A 20,586-nucleotide genomic window follows, 5' to 3' on the forward strand; every position below is an offset into this window, starting at 1 on the left:
CTTTACATTTAGGCACAAAAATATCTTATACTAATAATAATAGTAATATTTAAGCAGAGTGTTTGACCTGCAAATATTCTCATTGAGTATTTGCGGAACAAATAAACTTGGCAAGCATCCCTTCTGATTAAAAATAGGATTCTAATTTGTAAAATTTTAACTTGCATTTAGTCACTGGGCTTTTAGTTGTGACTGATAATACATCAATTATATGTAAAATATCCTAAAGCTTCTGATGTGCGAGCAGAAATAGGTCTAAAACACTGGAAAGAGACAAAACTTTCTGGAAAAAAAGATGTTCAGATATTCTTGAGAACTACTTTGAGGCTTAAAAAAAATGACAACATATTCAGAAAGATAAAGCAGGAACTACATCATTTTACCAAGATAAAGTGAAATAGACCAATGGATTTGATCCCACTATATTAGTAGTGCAATGTGAGGACAAGAGAAATTCACTGTCATCTACCTGTCCCAGAAGACACCAGCAAATGCATACTTAGAATCTTACACTATTTCAGGGAGTCCAGTTAATCAACCCTTCCAGTTAATCAACCCTTCCAGCCCATAGGAGTATGTGTGTGTGTATGTGTGTGTGTGTGTGTATATATATATGTGTGTGTGTGTGTGTGTGTGTGTGTGTGTGTGTGTGTCTTGTGTTTTTAGATTATCTTTCTTTTAAACTTTGTGCATTGGAAAGTTCTGTGAGAGCCCAAATTTCATAGCCTCCAGATAAACCTAACACTGAGCCCTAGATCCTAGGTCAATATTGACATATGCTGTTGCTGAGCTCCAACAGAAAAGATAAAGATGGTTTATATCCAAGTCTGACACCACAACAAACCACATCTTTTCCTAGTGGCATTCCAACAAACTAGAATCATCATGATGCAATCAGAGAAGCACTGTTTATTAATAAATGCTTTTATCACTGTTTTCTCATGTGGCAGGTCAATATAAAAAGCAGCATAAAAATAAATTAGCTAAGGATATGAGATCTTCCTTTCAGAAATAATATTCCACAAAAGGTTTAATGTCTGCCACTCAACTCAGGGCTGAATCCCTCAGGTCTCTCCCACACTGAGGGAGCCATGTCTGCCCTGCAGGGGAGCTTGCTCTTCTGGTGAAAGAATGCTTCCCAGGCCTTGCAGTTTCAAAACTGACTTAGGGAATGTGTTTGATAAGATAGCAGATCATCTGCTCAGGCAAGGTGTAAAGCAAGTAGCAGCAGACCAAAAACTGAAATGAAACTTGCCCCATCACCATGAAGCAAAACATGTGTCAGCTAAGCACCTTGGGACTCAGTAAATGGCCCCGCACCTAGAGCATTTACAAATGCAGCAACTTTCTCACTGCACTTTCAAATGGGAGAGTTTCCTGATCCCTCTCACTGGATGTGCAACAGGGTTATGGCTTGCCTGTTCAGTCGCTCAAGCCCCTTGTGGGAGGGGGAGCATGCAGATGGGCAGGTGCAGAGGCCAGGGTGAGCGCTTTGGGCTCCGGCCCCATGGTAGTGTCTAGGGGTGGGTGCCTGCAACCTCAGTGTTACAATGCTGTCTTAGCCTTGCTGTCCGTAGGTGACTTTTTTGCAAGGGCAGAGGGCCAGTGTGACAGTTTCTGTATCCCCAGCTCTTGCCCAAGGTCCCAGAAGAATTGGGTCACGCACGGACTTGAGGGATGAATGCAAGGTTTTATTGAGTGTTGGAGGTGGCTCTCAGCAGGATGGATGAGGAGCCAGAAGGGAGAGATGGAGTGGGAAGGTGATCTTCCCCTGGTGTTGGGTCATCCAGTGGCTGAATTCCTCTCCAGCCACCCCTGGCCAAACTCCTCTCAGCATTCAGGCATTCCTTCTCTTCTCTCTGTCTCTGCTGTGTTGTTCGACTGTTTGTCTGCTTGTCTCATCTCCTTGTCTGCTGGTCTCCTCTGGAGCCTGGGGTTTGGGGTTGATATAGGTACAGGATAGGGGGCATGGTGGGCCAAAAGGCAATGATTTGGGCCTGAAAACAGGAATGCCTGTTCTCATTTAGGGCCATGGGTATCCAGGCTTGAGGGGGGGGCCTTTGCCAGGGAACCACCCTCTTCTACCCAGTATTTCCCTGTCTTCTGTTTGTATCACTTTGAAGGGGACAAACCATGTGTTGGATACTGGCTGTGACACTGGCGTGCTGTCCCTGAAGCTCTTTCATTCCTTCATATATACTAAGCTCTCCAGAAAATGTCGAGTCACAGAAGATGCCAAAAAATTGTCCTGCAAGGTCCTTACCAAGCTTTTCTTTATCCTATCTTCGTGACTCCAATCACATCAACCTCTCTCTCCCGAAACCCTCAAATGACTTTGGACCTGAGATATTTGCATTTACCTTTTCTGCTTCACCCTATTTATTGTCCTTGTGCATGTGTGGTCTTTTGTCATCTCCTGGTCACCCCCCTCTACTCACAGGGCTTCAGGTATCAGCCTCCAGTTCTCATTTGGGCAAGCCCTGCTAATCAGCCCTCTCAGGGTTCATTGTAGGGCTTTGGTCTGAGAGATAGGACGAGCTGTTGGTTTATCCCACTAGGCTTGAGCCCTGGAGGAATTGTCCCCAAAGAGCCTGAGAATGAAGGCAATGCAGGGAGGATGACAGTGCCCAACTGAGAGACAGAGAAATATTGAGATCTGGTGGCTTATTGTCAGGCCTGAAGTTAGCTTGAAACTTTAACAGAAGTTAAGAGACAGTCAATTCCTATGTTTTGCCTAAGCCAATTCTAGCTGAGTTTTCTTTTGTTGGAATTGAAGCATCTCACTGATATATGTGTGCCATATTTTCTCAGCATATTTTAACCTCCTCAAAGAGAGAACCCTGTTAAGTGCTCTCCCATAGCCTTAGTCTGATACAAAGTACATGGTAGTTATTCAAAAATGTGTTGCTTCATCTGTCTTCTGGATTGTTCTATTCCATTTAGTACTGAAACTAGAAAGCAGGCATAAATTTATAATGCCCATGGCCAACCCACTTTGTGGCTACAGTGAGTCTGGTGCTCCCCAAGTCAGGCACCGATTCTGAATTCTCAACATCCTACCTAATGCTGGCCACTCCTACCTCTTTACCATGTTATTCAAAACTCACAATCCAAATTGGGATTGACATAAACAAATGATCTTATTTATATTTTGAAGTCACTTTATATTTTATTTATATGTATATATGTATATTAATATTTTCTTTATATGTATATTTTCTTTATATGTATAATATTTTCTTTATATGTATATGTGAACCCCAAAATAAAGACACATAGGGATTTCCTATAAAATTCTGGCCCTATAATCACTTCTTTTCACAGATGGGACAGTTGTAAACCCAAATTCCCACGAATTTCACCAGATAATGTGTTTCATTAAATTTTGCCCCATAGAATAATGCATTTACTCCAAATTCCAGGACAATTCAATATGCAGAAAGCACTCTTTCTACAATATAAATTAAGGAGTTAATAAATAAATATATATTTATTTATAATTATAAGATTATATTTTTATATATAAATATATATAACTATATATACATATATGTGTATATATACATATATAATGTGTGTTTGTGTGGGTGTGTAGATGGTAGATGGCCACTGAGATGACCACAGGGTCTCCTTAATCAGAAAAGCAAACCATTCACTTTGACCATATTCAAAACCCACTGGAGCCTACTGCATTATGAGTTGTTTTTCAGTTTGTCTGAAGCCACAGCCCTTCACTGAACATCCTCGCTTTGGCCATCTTTGTAAAATGTCACTTTGGCTCTCTTTGTAAAATGTTGACTCTTTCAGGCATTATTCTCCACCATTCAATGTTTGTTGGTGACTGCTGTATCAGGCAGTGTTTCCAGGAGCAGAGGCTATAGTGGTGAAAAAGGTAGCCAAGGTCCCAGCCCTCACAGAGTTTATATTGCAACAAAAATAATAGGCAATAAATAAGCAACTAAATGATTATGATCACTTCAGATAGTGGTAAATATTAGGAGAAAAATAAAACAGAATGATATGAAGGAGGGTGACTGAGAAGTGTGGGGAGTTTCACTAGGTAATCCATTTTGAACTATGGTATTATGCTGTTGACTCCCGCTTGAAAATCTATATATGTGGAGGCCTTGGCTGTCTTTTCTTTGACTCCATGTCAAAAGACCTTTCTTGACTTACGGTGAAAGGTACAATTTCCATTTAACTGGAAATTGTCTGCTGTCCTTTTTGTTTTTCTTTCTACACCTTCCTTCCACAGAGAGAATCCCTTTTCTGTTTTTTTTTTGTTGTTGTTGTTGTTGCTGTTCGTTTTTTTATTATACTTTAAGTTCTGGAATACATGTGCAGAATGTGCAGGTTGTGACATAGGTATACATATGCCATGGTGGTTTGTTGAACCCATCAACCTCTCACCTACATTAGGTATTTCTCCTAATGCTATCCCTCCCCTAGTCCCTCAAACCATGACAGGCCCCAGTGTGTGATGTTCCCCTCCCTGTGTCCATGCGCTCTCATTGTTCAACTCCCACTTATGAGTGAGAACATGCAGTGTTTGGTTTCCTGTTCTTGTGTTAGTTTGCTGAGCATAATGGTTTCCAACTTCATCTATGTCCCTGCAAAGGACGTGAACTCATCCTTTTTTTATGGCTGCATAGTATTCCACGGTGTATGTATGCCACATTTTCTTTATCCAGTCTATCATTGATGGGCATTTGGGTTGGTTCCAAGTCTTTGCTATTGTGAACAGTGCTGCAATAAACATACATGTGCATGTGTCTTTATAGTAGAGTGATTTATAATCTTTTGGGTATAATCCAATGGGATTGCTGGGTCAAATGGTATTTCTGGTTCTGGATGCTTGGAGAATCGCCATACTTGTCTTCCACAATGGTTGAACTAATTTACACTCCCACCAACAGTGTAAAAGTGTTTCTATTTCTCCGCATCCTCTCCAGCACCTGTTGTTTCCTGACTTTTTAATAATTGCCATTCTAACTGGCATGAGATGGTATCTCATTGTGGTTTTGATTTGCATTTCTCTAATGACCAGTGATGATAAGCATTTTTTCATAGGTTTAATGGCCACGTAAATGTCTTCTTTTGAAAAGTGTCTGTTCATATCCTTTGCCCACTTTTTGATGGGGTTGTTTTTGTTTTCTTGTAAATTTGTTTAAGTTCCTTGTAGATTCTGGATATTAGCCCTTTGTCAGATGAATGGATTGCAAATATTTTCTCCCATTCTGTAGGTTGCCTGTTCACTCTAATGGTGGTTTCTTTTGCTGTGCAGAAGCTCTTTAGTTTAATTAGGTCCCACTTGTCAATTTTGGCTTTTGCTGCCATTGCTTTTGGTGTTTTAGTCATGAAGTCTTTGCCCATGCCTATGTCCTGAATGGTATTGCCTAGGTTTTCTTCTAGGGTTTTTATGGTTTTAGGTCTTACATTTAAGTCTTTAATCCATCTTAATTTTTGTATAAGGTATAAGGAAAAGATCCAGTTTCAGTTTTCTGCATATGGCTAGCCAGTTTTCCTAACACCATTTATTAAATAGGGAATCCTTTCCCCATTGCTTGTTTTTATCAGGTTTGCCAAAGATCAGATGGTTGTAGATGTGTGGCATTATTTCTGAGGCCTCTGTTCTGTTCCATTGGTCTATATATCTGTTTTGACACCAGTACAATGCTGTTTTGGTTACTGTAGCCTTATAGTATAGTTTGAAGTCAGGTAGCGTGATGAATCCAGCTTTGTTCTTTTTGCTTAGGATTGTCTTGGCTATATGGACTCGTTTTTGTTTTCATATGAAATTTAAAGTAGTTTTTTCTAATTCTGTGAGGAAAGTCATTGGCAGCTTGATGGGGATAGTACTGAATCTATAAATTACTTTGGGCAATATGGCCATTTTCACGATATTGATTCTTCCTATCCATGAACGCGGAATGTTTTCCCATTTGTTTGTGTCATCTATTTCCTTGAGCAGTGGTTTGTAGATCTCCTTGAAGAGGTCCTTCACATCCCTTGTAAGTTGGATTCCTAGGTATTTTATTCTATTTGTAGCAATTGTGAATGGGAGTTCACCCATGATTTGGCTCTCTATTATTGGTATATAGGAATGCTTGTGATTTTTGCACATTGGTTTTGTATCCTGAGACTTTGCTGAAGTTGCTTATCAGCTTAAGGAGATTTTCAGCTGAGACAATGGAGTTTTCCAAATATACAATCATGTCATCTGCAAACAGAGACAATTTGAATTCCTCCCTTCCTATTTGTATAGCCTTTATTTCTTAGTCTTGACTGATTGCCCTGGCCAGAACTTCCAATACTATGTTGAATAGAAGTGGTGAGACAGGGCATCCTTGTCTTGTGCTGGTTTTCAAAGGGAATGCTTCCAGCTTTTGCCCATTCAGTATGATATTGGCTGTGGGTTTGTCATAAATAGCTCTTATTATTTTGAGATACATTCCATCATTATCTAGTTTATTGAGAGTTTTTAGCATGAAGGGCTGTTGAATTTGATCGAAGGCCTTTTCTGCATCTATTGAGAGAACCATGTGGTTTTTGTCATTGGTTCTGTTTATGTGATGGATTATGTTTATTGATTTGTGTATGTTGAACCAGCCTTGCATCCCAGGGATGAAGCCGACTTGATCGTGGTGGATAAGCTTTTGATGTGCTGCTGGATTCAGTTTGCCAGTATTTTATTGAGGATTTTCACATTGATGTTCATCAGGCATACTGGCCTAAAATTTTCTTTTTTTGTTGTGTCTCTGCCAGGTTTTAGTGTAAGGATGATGCTGGCCTCATATATTGAGTTAGGAATGAGTCCCTCTTTTTCTATTGCTTGGAATAGTTTCAGAAGGAGTGGCATCAGCCCCTCTTTGTACCTCTGGTAGAATTCAGTTGTGAATCCATCTGGTCCTGGGCTTTGCTTGGTTGGTAGGCTATTAATTACTGCCTCAATTTCAAAACTTGTAATTGGTCTATGCAGGGATTCAACTTCTTTCTGGTTTAGTCTTGGGAGGGTGTATGTATCCAGGAATTTATCCATTTCTTTTTGATTGTCTAGTTTATTTGCATAGAAGTGTTTATAGTATTCTCCAATGGTAGTTTGTATTTCTCTGGGATCAGTGGTGACATCCCCTTTATCATTTTTTATTGTGTCTATTTGATTCATCTCTCTTTTCTTCATTATTAGTCTGGCTAGCAGTCTATATATTTTGTTAATCTTTTCAAAAAAACCAGCTCCTGGATTCACTGATTTTTTGAAGGGTTTTTCATGTCTCTATCTCCTTCAGTTCTGCTCTGATCTTAGTTATTTCTTTTCTTCTGCTAGCTTTTGAATTTGTTTGCTCTTGTTTCTCTAGTTCTTTTAATTGTGATATTAGGGTGTCGATTTTAGATCTTTCCTGCTTTCTCCTGTGGGCATTTAGTGCTATAAATTTCCCTCTAAACACTGCTTTAGCTGTGTCACAAAGATTCTGTTACTTTGTGTATTTGTTCTCATTGGTTCCAAAGAATTTATTTATTTCTGCCTTAATTTTCTTGTTTACCCAGTAGTCACTCAGGAGCAGGTTGTTCAGTTTCCATGTAGTTGAGTGATTTTGAGTGAGTTTCTTAATCCTGAGTTCTAATTTGTTTGCACTATGGTCTGAGAGACTGTTTATTATGATTTCCCTTATTCTGCATTTGCTGAGGAGTGCTTTACTTCCAAGTATGTGGTCAATTTTAGAATAAGTGTGATGTGGTGCTGAGAAGAATGTATATTCTGTTGATTTGCGGTGGAGAGTTCTGTAGATGTCTATTAGGTCCACTTGGTCCAGAGCTGAGTTCAAGTCCTGAGTATCCTTGTTAATTTTCTGTCTTGTTGATCTGTCTAATATGGACAGTGGGGTGTTAAAATCTCCCACTATTATTTTGTGAGAGTCTAAGTCTCTTTGTAGGTCTCTAAGAACTTGCTTTATGAATCTGGGTGCTCCTGTATTGAGTGCATATATATTTAGGATAGTTAGCTCTTCTTGTTGCATTGATCCCTTTACCATTATGTAATGCCCTTCTTTGTCTTTATTGATCTTTGTTGGTTTAAAATCTGTTTTATCAGAGACTAGGATTGCAACCTCTGCCTTTTTTTGCTTTCCATTTGCTTGGTAAATATTCCTCCATCTCTTTATTTTGGGCCTATGTGTGTCTTTGCACATGAAATTGGTCTCCTGAATATAGCACAGCGATGGAACTTGACTCTTTATCCAATTTGCCAGTCTGTGTCTTTTAATTGGGGCATTTAGCTCATTTACATTTAAGGTTAATATTGTTATGTATGAATTTGATCCTGTCATTACGATGCTAGCTGATAATTTTGCCCATTAGTTGATGCAGTTTCTTCATAGTGTCGATGGTCTTTACAATTTGTTATGTTTTTGCAGTGGCTAATACCGCTTTTTCCTTTCCATATTTAGTGCTTCTTTCAGGAGCTCTTGTAAAGCAGGCCTGGTGGTGACAAAACCTCTCAGCATTTGTTTGTCCATAAAAGATTTTATTTCTCCTTCCCTTGTGAAGGTTCATTTGGCTGGATATGAAATTCTGAGTTGAAAATTCTTTTCTTTAAGAATGTTGAATATTGGCCCCCACTCTCTTCTGGCTTGTAGGGTTTCTGCCGAGAGATCCACTGTTAGTCTGATGGGCTTCCCTTTGTGGGTAACCCAACCTGTCTCTCTGGCTGCCCTTAACATTTTTTCCTTCATTTTAACCTTGGTGAATCTGATGAATATGTGTCTTGGGGTTGCTCTTCTCAAGAAGTATCTGTGGTGTTCTCTGTATTTCTTGAATTGGAATGTTGACCTGCCTTGCTAGGTTGGGGAAGTTCTCCTGGATAATATCCTGAAGAGTGTTTTCCAACTTGGTTCCATTCTCCCCATCACTTTCAGGTACACCAATCAAACAACGGTTTGGTCTTTTCACATAGTCCCATATTTCTTGAAGGCTTTGTTCATTCCTTTTCATTCTTTTTTCTCCAATCTTGTCTTCACACTTTATTTCATTAAGTTGATCTTTAATCTCTGATATCCTTTCTTCTGCTTGACCAATTTGGCTATTGATACTTGGGTATGCTTCAGTAAGTTCTCTTGCTGTGTTTTTCAGCTCCATCAGGTCATTTGTGTTCTTGTCTAAACTGATTATTCTAGTTAGCAATTCCTCTAACCTTTTTTCAAGGTTCTTAGCTATCTTGCATTGGGTTAGAACATGCTCCTTTAGCTCAGAGGAGTTTGTTATTACCCACCTTCTGAAGCCTACTTCTGTCAATTCGTCAAACTCATTATCTGTCCAGTTTTGTTCCCTTGCTGGCGAGAAGTTGTGATCCTTTGGAGAAGAGACGTTCTGGTTTTTGGAATTTTCAGCCTTGTTGTGCTGGTTTTTCCTCATCTTCGTGGTTTATCTACCTTCGGTCTTTGGTGTTGGTGACCTTTGGGTGGGATTTTTGTGTGGACGTCCTTTTTGTTGATGTTGACGCTATTCCTTTCTGTTTGTTAGTTTTCCTCCTAACAGTCAGGTCCTTCTGCTGCAGGTCTGCTGGAGTTTGCTGGAGGTCCACTCCAGACCCTGTTTGCCTGAATATCAACAGCAGAGGCTGCAGAATAGCAAAGATTGCTGCCCGTTCACCCCTCTGGAAGCTTCGTCCAGAGGGGGACCCGCCAGATGTCAGCTAGAGCTCTCCTGTACGAGGTATCTGTCGACCCCTGTTGGGAGATGTCTCCCAGTCAGGAGGCACAGGGGTCAGGGACCCACTTGAAGAGGCAGCCTGTCCCTTAGCAGAGCTTGAGTGCTGTGCTGGGAGATCCACTGCTGTCTTCAGAACTGACACACAGGAATGTTTAAGTCTGCTGAAGCTGCACCCACAGCTGCCCCTTCCCCCAGGTGCTCTGTCCCAGGGAGACAGGAGTTTTATCCATAAGCCCCTAATTGGGGCTGCTGCCTTTCTTTCAGAGATGCTCTGCCTAGAGAGGAGGAATCTAGAGAGGCAGTCTGGCTACAGTGGCTTTGCCGAGCTGCACTGGGCTCTGCCCAGTTCGAACTTCCTGGCAGCTTTGTTCACACTGTGAGGGGAAATCGGCCTACTCAAGCCTCAGTAATGGTGAATGCCCCTCCCCCCACCAAGCTCCAGTGCCTCAGGTCAACTTCAGACTGCTGTGTTGGCAGCAAGAATTTCAAGCCAGTGGATCTTAGCTTTCTGGACTCCATGGGGTTGGAATCCACCGAGCTAGACCACTTGGCTCCCTGGCTTCAGCCCCCATTCCATGGGAGTGAATGGTTCTGTCTCACTGGTTTTCCAGGCACCACTGGGGTATGAAAAAGAAAACTCCTGCAGCTAGCTCAGAGTCTGCCCAAATAGCCACCCAGTTTTGTGCTTGAAACCCAGGGCCCTGGTGGTGTAGGCACCTGAGGAATCTGCTGGCCTGTGGTTTGCGAAGACCTTGGGAAAAGCATAGTATCTGTGCCAGAATGCACCGTTCCTCATGCCACAGTCCGCTATGGCTTCCCTTGAGTATTGGAGGGAGTTCCCTGACCCTTTGCACTTCCTGGGCGAGGCAATGCCCCACCCTGCTTCTGTTTGCCATGTGTGGGCTGCACCCACTGTCTAAGCAGTCCCAATGAGATGAGCTGGGTACCTCAGTTGAAAATGCAGAAATCACTCACGTTCTGTGATGATCTTGCTGGGAACTGCAGACCAGAGCTGTTATTCTGCCATCTTGCCAGCCGCCGAGAGTCCCTTTTCCTTCCTTTGGAGGGCTTCTGCAGGAGCGGGGGGTGGGGCAGTGGGGTCCTGGTGCCTCTTTCAAGTATAATACTGAATTACAGACTTGTTGCACTAATTGTATAAATACCCATTACACCTGGCACTTGCTCTTCCACATATGGGCAGTAGGTTTATCAGTTGGCAGCCAGAGTCTGAAGACCACAGATATACTAAGCTGGGCAAAAGGACAGAGCCCCTGAGTTTCCCTCTATATAATTTCCAATGCACATAGCCACAGCTGTGGTACAAGTGGCCAAGCACTCCTGATCTATCTTCAGACAGACTCTGGCAAGGGCAAGCTAGAGCACCAGTGCCCTCTCATGGACAAGCCATGAAGCATCTTCAAGGGAACGTGCGTACCCCAGCTGGCTCTATGACGAAGCTGGAAACGCACAACACCTCTCAGCCACTGCCATCCTCCAGGGATGGGGAAGATCGTGGTGTGCTGTCGGAAGAAGCTGACTCTGCCCACCCTCTCCATTGCCACCCATGCCCCAAAAGAATCTGCCCCTGCCGGTGTCTCACTTCTGGAACCATCATCTTTAAGGATCGATTCTTAAACTTCCATCTCAACCAAACATACATCTTAGGACAATTCACTTTCAGAAGTTATGAGTCATCTACCAGTTACTAAGCATGATTACGTAGTTCTTCCTTAATAGAAAACTTTGACCCCAGGACTTCAGGGACATTGATCTACTCAGAATACCGAGATGTTTCAAGAAGTGAGAACCTGCCTCAAAGACAATCTTGCCTTACTAGACTCATCTATATTTTTCTCATCAACGCTCCCAATGACTGAAAAATGCATGCATTATTATTATCCTGATACATTTTACAGATGAGGAAATCAAGTCTGACACCACAGAACTTGGCATACGGCTGAAGTTCAACGCATTAGTCCCTTCTTTACTCTGCTAGTTCACACGGTGCAGCCGCTGTTCTAAGAGGAAATCTGCAAAAATGTGGTCACTGTCTTTTAATGCCTACTGATATGGAAATGCATGATGGGAAAAGTAGAAAGGAAAATATAACCAAATACTACCATTTCCTGAGTTTAATACGATTCTTATGCCATTTCTTTTTAATTTGACAATTTAAGAAAATAATCACAGATTTCTAAACAAAAGACATCTACACCAAGAATCGTCATATTTTTCTGTAAGTGAAAGTTTACAAAGTTTTTTCTTTCTTTCTTTCTTTCTTTCTTTCTTTCTTTCTTTCCTTTCTTTTTTTTTTTTTTTTTTGAGACAGGGTTTTTCTCTGTCACTCCCAGCTGGTGTGCAGTGATACAATCATGGCTCACTGCAGCCTAGATTTCCTGGGCTCAATGCAATCCTCCCACCTCAGCCACCAGACTAGCTAGGACCACAGGCATACACCACCGTGCCTGGCTAATTTTTACATATATATATATATATTTTTTAAAGATAGGGTTTCACCATGTTGCCCAGGCTAGCCTCGAACTCCAGAGCTCAAGTGATCCACCCACCTCAGCTTCTTAAAGTGCTGGGGTTAACAGGTGTGAGCCACTATGCCTGTCTGAGACTTTTCTTATAAGCACGTTTGCTAACAACATTGCTCACTTTTATCAAAATTTAGGTTACTTCCTAACCTCATTGTGAAACAGACATCCATCTCATTAATCCAGCAGCTCATGCCTTGCATACAATCTTTAAAAATGGGGCTAAGGGAATCCAGCAACTCCATATAAAATCAAGAATCTGAGGTTGCTGGAATGTCAAAGGCCATGTCACACTTACCACTTGTTATTATTATCCTCAATATTGCTGCAGGCTGTGATGATATATGTTGGCAGGAGGAGACCTTTAATGGATTTATGTAGGACCAGGAATGTTTAACATCAGGATAAGATAAGAGAGGCCACTGGAGATTTTCTCCGCATATGGCTTGGAAGGTGTGCTTTTTCTCCTTGAAGAGTGAGAGCATGAGAATTCAGCTATTTATTCCCATAAACATACTGGCTGTTTGGCAGGGGGAGTTTGCTTGGAAATGTCCCAATAGCAGCAGAAGCCAATTTAGGATTGAAAAGCATAGTAGGAAATCTACCTTATGGATAATTTATAGGATGAAATCTGAGAGACGCATCTTTTCTTTAAGGGTCTTATTTTGAAGGGCAACATTTTCCTTCAGAAAAATCCTGCAGGACCCCTGACAATGTTGTTAAGGAGGTAAATAACCAGGAACCAGACAGGTCAAGTAAGTTCCTCAAGGTAAACCCAGTTAATAAGTGCCAGAGTTCGCACTTCAATTCAGGTTTCTCATCCCAGTCCTACTGCTTTTTTCACTACTGCATGCTACATACCCAGGTAAACCAGCTAGACTACGGCCAAGTCTCATGGACATAGCCAATTACTATCTGCTGATTACAATTATTTTGTGTGATTTTCTATGGGTTATTTTAATCTGTAGGCAGCAGCAAAACTCTTTTCTCCTACCAGCCATGTAGCTGAGCTATAATGTCCGTTTAACTATATTCCATAATTGTCATTGTTTTGTGGCCAGTATAGAGAAGTGGCCATCACCACATGATCTTTGCCCATATATCCCAGTTAAAAGTCAAGTCAATCTCAATGGGCACAAAAACAAGTTGCCAGTCAGCCATGATTGGCACCAACATTTGACAAATGAGTAAGGTACTTGTTGATTCTTCCATTAAAAAAAAAGGGGGTTTCATAGGCCCTAACTCTCACTCCCAAAAAAATCAGAGCTTCTTTAAAAGATTTAACACGAGAACTCAAACCTCCAGCGCAGTTTATCTCCCTTATCACAGTAAACTTACCATCACTATGTTCATCACATTACAGTGAACTGGTTTGCTTCACTTTTTGAGAGAAAATGTACCTGGAGACTTTAAGCTGGTGACAGAGATGACCTACTTCTCCACTTCTCTGGGCATTAGCAATACATTCTGGAAAAACAGATAAAGTTTACGTCCTCAGGAATTTACACCACCTCAATTTTCATTTAGGCCCCTAAATTGTAGACTGTAAAGAGTACCCTTGTCAGTTCTACTAAGGTTTTGGGTTTAAAAAAATAAAAATCCAAGTCCAGATTTCTATTACAAGTAGAAATTCAATTTCTAATCTACAGTGCAAAAAGCTTTCAGTTTATAGACTTTGTTAAGAGATTAACAGGTTAATGGGAGGCCGAGGCAGGCAGATCACAAGGTCAGGAGATCAAGACCATCCTGGTTAACACGGTGAAACCCCGTCTCTATTAAAAATACAAAACCAAAATGAGCTGGGTGTGGTGGCGGGCGCCTGTAGTCCCAGCTACTAGGGAGGCTGAGGTAGGAGAATGGCATGAACCCGGGAGGCAGAGCTTGCAGTGAGCCGAGATCGCACCACTGCACTCCAGCCTGGGTGACAGGGCAAAACTTCGTCTCAAAAAAAAAAAAAAAAAGAGAGATTAACAGGTTAACGATGGTATAGCAAAACTGTATGAAATATAAAGCTTTTCAGTGCAAAATTGGACCTGTATCCCTCTATTGAGTAGCCATGCCTCTCTCCCCTTTTCTTTTTCGGAATGCCCACCTCTTTCCCATTTCTCTTCAGGGTTAATAAGTAAAAGAAAGAACAGGTAAATAATATCTGTCAAGAGCTCTGAATTATAATTCCAGAGAAGATGGTTGTGGGAAAGCAGGACCTCAAGGATCTGTTTATCACCATCCAGTAGGACCGTGGTTAATGGAGACTTGGCTTTGGCATTTCCTCTTATTTCAAAAGAGAGAAATAAGGAAGTATGTATCCAAACATGCATTTGCTATCTCAACAAAAAGCTATTTATCTCCCCCACAGCTTCCTGCCAAGCCCCAGAAGGTTTCAGGGTCAATGATTACCATCTCTTCATTCAGACATTTTGACATTTGTGAATATGTTGACCTTGAAGACTGGACTGAGTCAGTCCTAACAGATGTTAATTTGATTACTCAGTTCTGACCTCTCCTGAGGTCTGGCTTTTGTCTTCATCACTATATTAAGATGGTGATAACCTCCCTGAAGTCATAAAAATGTTCTGATAAGACTTATCGATTTCAGGTTTGAAATTGTACAGATAACCAAAATGTATTTGGGTAAACTTTTAACCTACTCACTAAGACATATGTCCACCGAGACAGAAACAAGCGTTCATGCTTTTTGTCTCATAAAATACCTCTCTCTCATTTGTTTTTACATTAATAATTATTGCTTGAAAAGTAATACAGCCTACTCTGTCCGCTTTGCATTTATTTTTGCCAGCTTCTGGCAAGAATCAGGACCATTATAATCAGGAAATTAATGAAACTTCTCTCAGAAAATTTTGGACCAAAAAATTTGGAAGACAGCAATCAGATATTAAAAATAGTGATACTCATTGGCTACCTTTAAATAAGTCCTGCATATTTCAGCCCAGTGTTAGAAATGATGACTATCTCTTTCTTGGTATAGCTAAAGATACAGAAGCCCTGGGGAATAAAACCATTTTTTACTCTTATGCCATAGTGGGAAGAGCATGACTTGGAAGCGAGGCATAACTGAGCTCAAATCTTCACTCCACAACTTAACCAGCTAGGTGTTCTTAGGCAAATGACTAGACAGCCAAGTATGAATTTCCTCATAGGTGAGACAGGGATAACACTTACTTTGGATATTAGGACTCAAAGGAAACACTTCTTTCAAACATATATATCCCAAAGGGACACTGAAAACCCAGATTCTTAATTCCCAAGCTTTCTTGGTAACTATGCCTTTAAATTCTAATTAATGAGCTACGTATTCATGACATATTTTCTGTTTTTTACTTCACCTGAGGTAGAGATAATGGCCAAATGTGCTTTCAGTATGACAGAAACAGGAGCTTAAGATAGGAAAAAAGTATTAAGTAATCACTAAACTACCAGAATACCCTCAGAATGGGTAAAGTACATGTCATGAAAACTTGAAACGAAAGAGTTCAAGTCAGGGATTTCATTGAAGTAGTGAGGAACAAGATTTGACTATGATCAAGCAGGGAAGGTGGGAGCAAGATCTAGAAGGTTCTAGAAGTCACTGCCTGTTCTTATCTAAACAATCCTTGGTCTGGCTTTATCTCTGCCAGCCCCTGCATTATTCTCCACAATGGAGCTAGGGATTTATTGTAGGAAAAAATACCCCCCCCGAAAAAAGTCAGGATCACATTCAGAGGTGGCTGAGTGGACCTTCACCTCTACCTTCCCATCTGCTGATGCCTGAAATTCTTTTAACTAGAATGGAACACCTTTCATCCCATAATTATAGCTAAAAGGCTTAAACTTCACAAGGCTGTTTCAGACAGGGTGCTGATGAATTTGAGTTCCAGTCAAAATATAATCAGTCAACATCAGTCAACAAATGTCAATGGTTGGTTATCAGATCTCTCTCTCTGTTTTGATAGAAGAAAGAGGTGAAGAGGGCAAGGTCCCAGACACCTGAAAGGAGAGAAAGGGTCACTACCAGAGGGAAAATTTGTAGAAAAAAAGTTAGTTTATATCACAGGTTCACCTCAGGTAGGTCCTGTTTGCAGCTGAGAGGGTGCAACAGAAGCTGCCTAAACTCAGAGATTTGCTTGGGAAAGTTTTGAGGTTTTTTTAATCTTTTGTTTTCTTTTAGTTTTTGTTTAATCAGCCCTCTGTAAATACCATAAATCTGTTAGCAATAATTTATAAGCTGCTTTTCCTTTGGTGTTGTTTATTTTTCATGGGGACGGTTGGCTTCTTACTGAAAAAAAAAAGAGCTTCTGATAAATTGATAACTTGGGTGCTGAAAGGAAGAGTCCAACCTGCAACAGATGCCACAACTCCCACTTTAATATATTTCTTCCAGGGTGACCCAGGCCCATCAGCCAGTCCATCAGACAGACAGTCAGTCAGCCAGTGAGACATTTGGTCAGCCAGTCAGTCAGTCAGACAGTCAATAAGATAGTCAGTCAGTCAGTCAGCCAGCCAGATAGTCACTGGTCAGTCAGTCAGTCACCCAGTTAGCCAGTCAGTCAGCCGGTCCATCAGTCAGTCAGTTTGTCAGTCAGATAGTCAGAAAGTCAGTCAGTCAGTCACTCAGTCAGTCAGTCAGCCAGCCAGTCAGATAGTCAGTCAGTCATACAGATAGTCAGCCAGTCAGATAGTCAGTCAGTCAGTCAGTCAGTCAGCCAGCCAGTCAGTCACTCAAATAGTTAGTCAGTCAGCTGGATAGTCAGTTAGTCAGTCAGTCAGCCAGTCAGTCAGTCACTCAGATAGTAAGCCAGTCAGATAGTCAGCCAGTCAGTCAATCATTCAAATAGTCAGTTAGTCAGTCAGCCAGCCAGTCAGCTAGTCAGTCAGATCATCAGTCAGTCAGTCAGCCAGTCACTAAGAAAGTCAGCCAGTCAGTCAGCCAGTCAGTAAGACAGTCAGTCAGTCAGTCAGTCAGCCAGTCAGAGAGTCAATCAGCCAGTCAGTAAGATAGTCAGTCAGTCAGAGAGTCAGTCAGTCAGCCAGTCAGCCAGTCAGCCAGTCAGTCAGAGAGTCAGTCAGTCAGCCAGTCAGTCAGCCAGCCAGCCAGTCAGTCATATATAGTCAGTCAGTAAGATAGTCAGTCAGCCAGTCAGCCAGTCAGTCAGATAGTCAGTCAGTCAGTCAGTTGAACATTTAAGATTATGCTTATATTGTATATCAAGATGTACTATAGTTTAAATGTTTTCCCCTTCCCAGCCTCCAGAACTGTGAGAAATTAACTTCTGTGTTCATAAGCCAGCCAGTTTATGGTGTTTTGTTATAGCAGCCAGAGCAGACTAAGACAGGGTATTTTGTTTGTTTTGTTTTGTTTTTCAGAGGAGTTAATTGGTCTGAAAAAGTAAAAGGACTTATAAAGTGAGGTCATCCAACATAGCCTTTTCTCAGCTGAATTTTCACCTAGAATGGCTGCAAAACAAGTTTGAGGACTGTGTACAGTAAGCACAAATAATACAATTGGGATTAGTTAAAATGATAAAACCGTTCTCTTTTCTTTCTTCAAATTATATGGCATACATATGACAGCATATGTGATGACTCAATTTGAGACTCCGTGTCCAACAAAAGGCTTCACAAATTAATATCATCAATTTAAATTATTCACACATGCACAGTGATCTATGTACATGGTTATTCATTACAGCATTACTTATAATAGTATAAGATTAGAAACAATCTAAATGTCCCTGTTTCAAATTATCCTAAGGCAATTTGGCTCTTCAGGAAATATTAGTTTCTTTTGATAACTGTTGATAGTCTCTGGCTATTAGGGGGCTTACATGTCCTCTACCTTAGAATTTCGCTTTCAAGTGCTATGTTGCAACTCCAGACCAAATTCCAGGTGCTGTGAAAGCAACTATCAGACCAAATTTTGCCAAGTATACAAACATTTACTAGTAAGCAAGTCAAAATGCAGGCATATGATATGTTCTATAGCTGGTGATGTTCATTTTCTGCTCTAGGTACTTCGAACAACAGAAGCCAAGATATTCACAGAGAAGTCCTGGCCAGCATACTGATTAGGTTAGGCAACAAGGTGCTCTGTGAGATGAAGGACACAGAATTAGTGAGCCACCTCTATATTTTGAGTTACACCATTGGCAATGGATGGCTTGCTCAAGGGATTTCTTTACTCTGCTCATTCAAAGACTATGAGGTATATATAATCTTCTTAACCAACCACCTATTTTGACCTCCACTCATTTCATCCTTACGCTAATTAACAAAGCTTCTGATGTAGATTTCAATGAGGATACTTGAAGTCTAAGTAATCATCCTTAAAGTGTTGATTGTTGATCAGACTACTTCAAATGCTGTTTAATCACTCCCAAGGCCCAGATCAAATTTCACTCAGGCACATATCACAGAATGTACTCGAAATTATTTCAAAAGAAAATTACTATGGAGGCAATAAACTTGTCCATCAATTGGAGACTAAATAAATTATGATGTACCAATAAAACAAAATACTACATAGCTTTAGGAAAGAATGAGGGCTCACACATGAATAGCTATGGAAATGTGGAACACTCTTTAGGTTATATAGTCACATGAAAATGGATAAGCACAGGGCATTCTGTATAGCATGCCTCCACTTGAGTAAGAAAACAAGAATTCATCTGTTTTGTACATGCATACATACCTCTAGAAAATGGACAAGAACTGGATTATATTGGTGACATGCGGGAATAAGGTAGTGTGAGGGTACTGGGTTAGGAAGAGACATTTCATCATTTTCCCTTTGTATCATTTCAAAAATAATTTCAATATAAAAGATGAAAACATTAACAATCTTTAAACACACTTTACAAAAAACTTTTTTGAGGAATACCTCAGTAATATTCACATATTTATTCATTCTGTTTATGTAGCAAAAAGACTGTGTTCACAGACACTCCTAATGCCTGGCTTGTGGTCAAGGACACTTCTGTCACTCTTTACAAAGTTGTCCCCTTCTCCCTCTATGACTGCATATACTTTAACTTTGCAACAGTCACCAGTCCCCTCCTTCTTTTGCTACTTGTGGCAAATCCGTATGGGTTTGGAGCAACCTCAATTCTTGCCTCCTCAGAAAAAAGAATTTGACTGGGGAGGCATAAGGCAGAGTGAGAGGCAAGTTCTAGAGCAGGAGTGAAAGCTTATTAAAAAGCTTTAGAGCAGGTACTTGGAAGATGCCCAAGCAAATGACTTGAAAGACAAGTGCCCTGTTTGACCTTTGACTTAGGGTTTTATATGTTGGCATACTTCCACTGTCTTGCATCCCTTCTCCTCTGAGTCTTCTCTTAGCGTGGCCTGTCTGCATGCTCAGTGTCCTGCTAGCACTTGGGAGGTGAGCATGCACAGTGTGTTTACTGGAGTTGTGCGCGTGCTCACTTGAGGCATTCTTCCCTTACCACTCAAATGTCCCTGAAAGGCCATATACCAGTAGAACTCTGCCATTTTGCCCCCTAATGCTCATGCTTGAGCCCATTGGCCCCACTCCTGAGATCTTATCGGGAAGCTGCTGATCACCAATTTCAGGTGTTTCTATCTTCTGGGAGACTGCCTATCCTTGGCGTGGGCTGCGATCAATTATTATTTTAGAGAGACAGTGTGACAACTGCCTGACCATCACCTGATGGCTGCCTGACATCCCTGGTGGGGTTGGGGGAGCCCTGTCCTGCCCTGCTCATGCCTGACTAGCTACCCACTGTAACACTTTGTCCTTCTGCATCCCACGCTCAGAGGCTGCAATGGCTCTTTGGTCCTCAGTGGTGGGATCAGCAGCTCTGTTTTCTGCCTCATTCATGCCCTGAAGAAAGTACACAGGAAAATGACACAGAATGATATGCAACTTTTTCCTCTACAGTTTTAAAGGTGAATTCGTTAAGGCCCCAGAGCAAAACATTCTCAACAAAAGCTGAAAATAATGAGGAGCTGTTTAAAAAAATTTTTTTTCAATTCACTGAAATATGTGTTGATGTCATTCTGTTGTTCTTAAACTGACTTCAAGGGAAAACTGGTGAACTTTTGTCCTCCAAGAAGTTCCCCTTTATCACCCCTCCTCCCACCCTGACCCCTTCTACTCCTTTCATTTCCTCCCAATCAAAACACCAGGAACAACATCCCCCTAATCACTATTTTGCTGTCAGGCTTAAATGGGTCAAAGCTCCAGCCACTAGTAAAACAAGAAGCAGTTTGCTTGGCTTGGATGTGGAATTGTATAAATGCTTGCTTAAATGCTGGTTTTCAGATGGTAATACGTTATACAGGAAGGGAGGCCAGTTAGGGGTGATAGCCCCAGTTTGCAGGAAGCATT

At 41.1% G+C, this 20,586-nt stretch overlaps 4 annotated features.

Moving 5' to 3' along the window:
- Positions 9,347–10,148: an enhancer, noted in NCBI's record as "H3K27ac-H3K4me1 hESC enhancer chr9:87872127-87872928 (GRCh37/hg19 assembly coordinates)". NCBI's record gives its function as "activates a minimal SCP1, AML or CMV promoter by ChIP-STARR-seq in naive and primed H9 embryonic stem cells {active_cell/tissue: H9 hESC(naive and primed)}" and the evidence as "EXISTENCE:reporter gene assay evidence [ECO:0000049][PMID:30033119]".
- Positions 9,347–10,949: a biological region, named in NCBI's record as "CDK7 strongly-dependent group 2 enhancer GRCh37_chr9:87872518-87873717".
- Positions 9,738–10,937: an enhancer, noted in NCBI's record as "CDK7 strongly-dependent group 2 enhancer chr9:87872518-87873717 (GRCh37/hg19 assembly coordinates)". NCBI's record gives its function as "activates an origin of replication core promoter dependent on BRD2, BRD4, P300/CBP, MED14 and CDK7 cofactors, with strong dependence on CDK7, by STARR-seq in HCT116 cells {active_cell/tissue: HCT116}" and the evidence as "EXISTENCE:reporter gene assay evidence [ECO:0000049][PMID:35650434]".
- Positions 10,149–10,949: an enhancer, noted in NCBI's record as "H3K27ac-H3K4me1 hESC enhancer chr9:87872929-87873729 (GRCh37/hg19 assembly coordinates)". NCBI's record gives its function as "activates a minimal SCP1, AML or CMV promoter by ChIP-STARR-seq in primed H9 embryonic stem cells {active_cell/tissue: H9 hESC(primed)}" and the evidence as "EXISTENCE:reporter gene assay evidence [ECO:0000049][PMID:30033119]".

The sequence above is a fragment of the Homo sapiens genome, chromosome 9 (assembly GCF_000001405.40).
Source record: "Homo sapiens chromosome 9, GRCh38.p14 Primary Assembly".
Classification (NCBI taxonomy): Eukaryota; Metazoa; Chordata; class Mammalia; order Primates; family Hominidae; genus Homo; species Homo sapiens.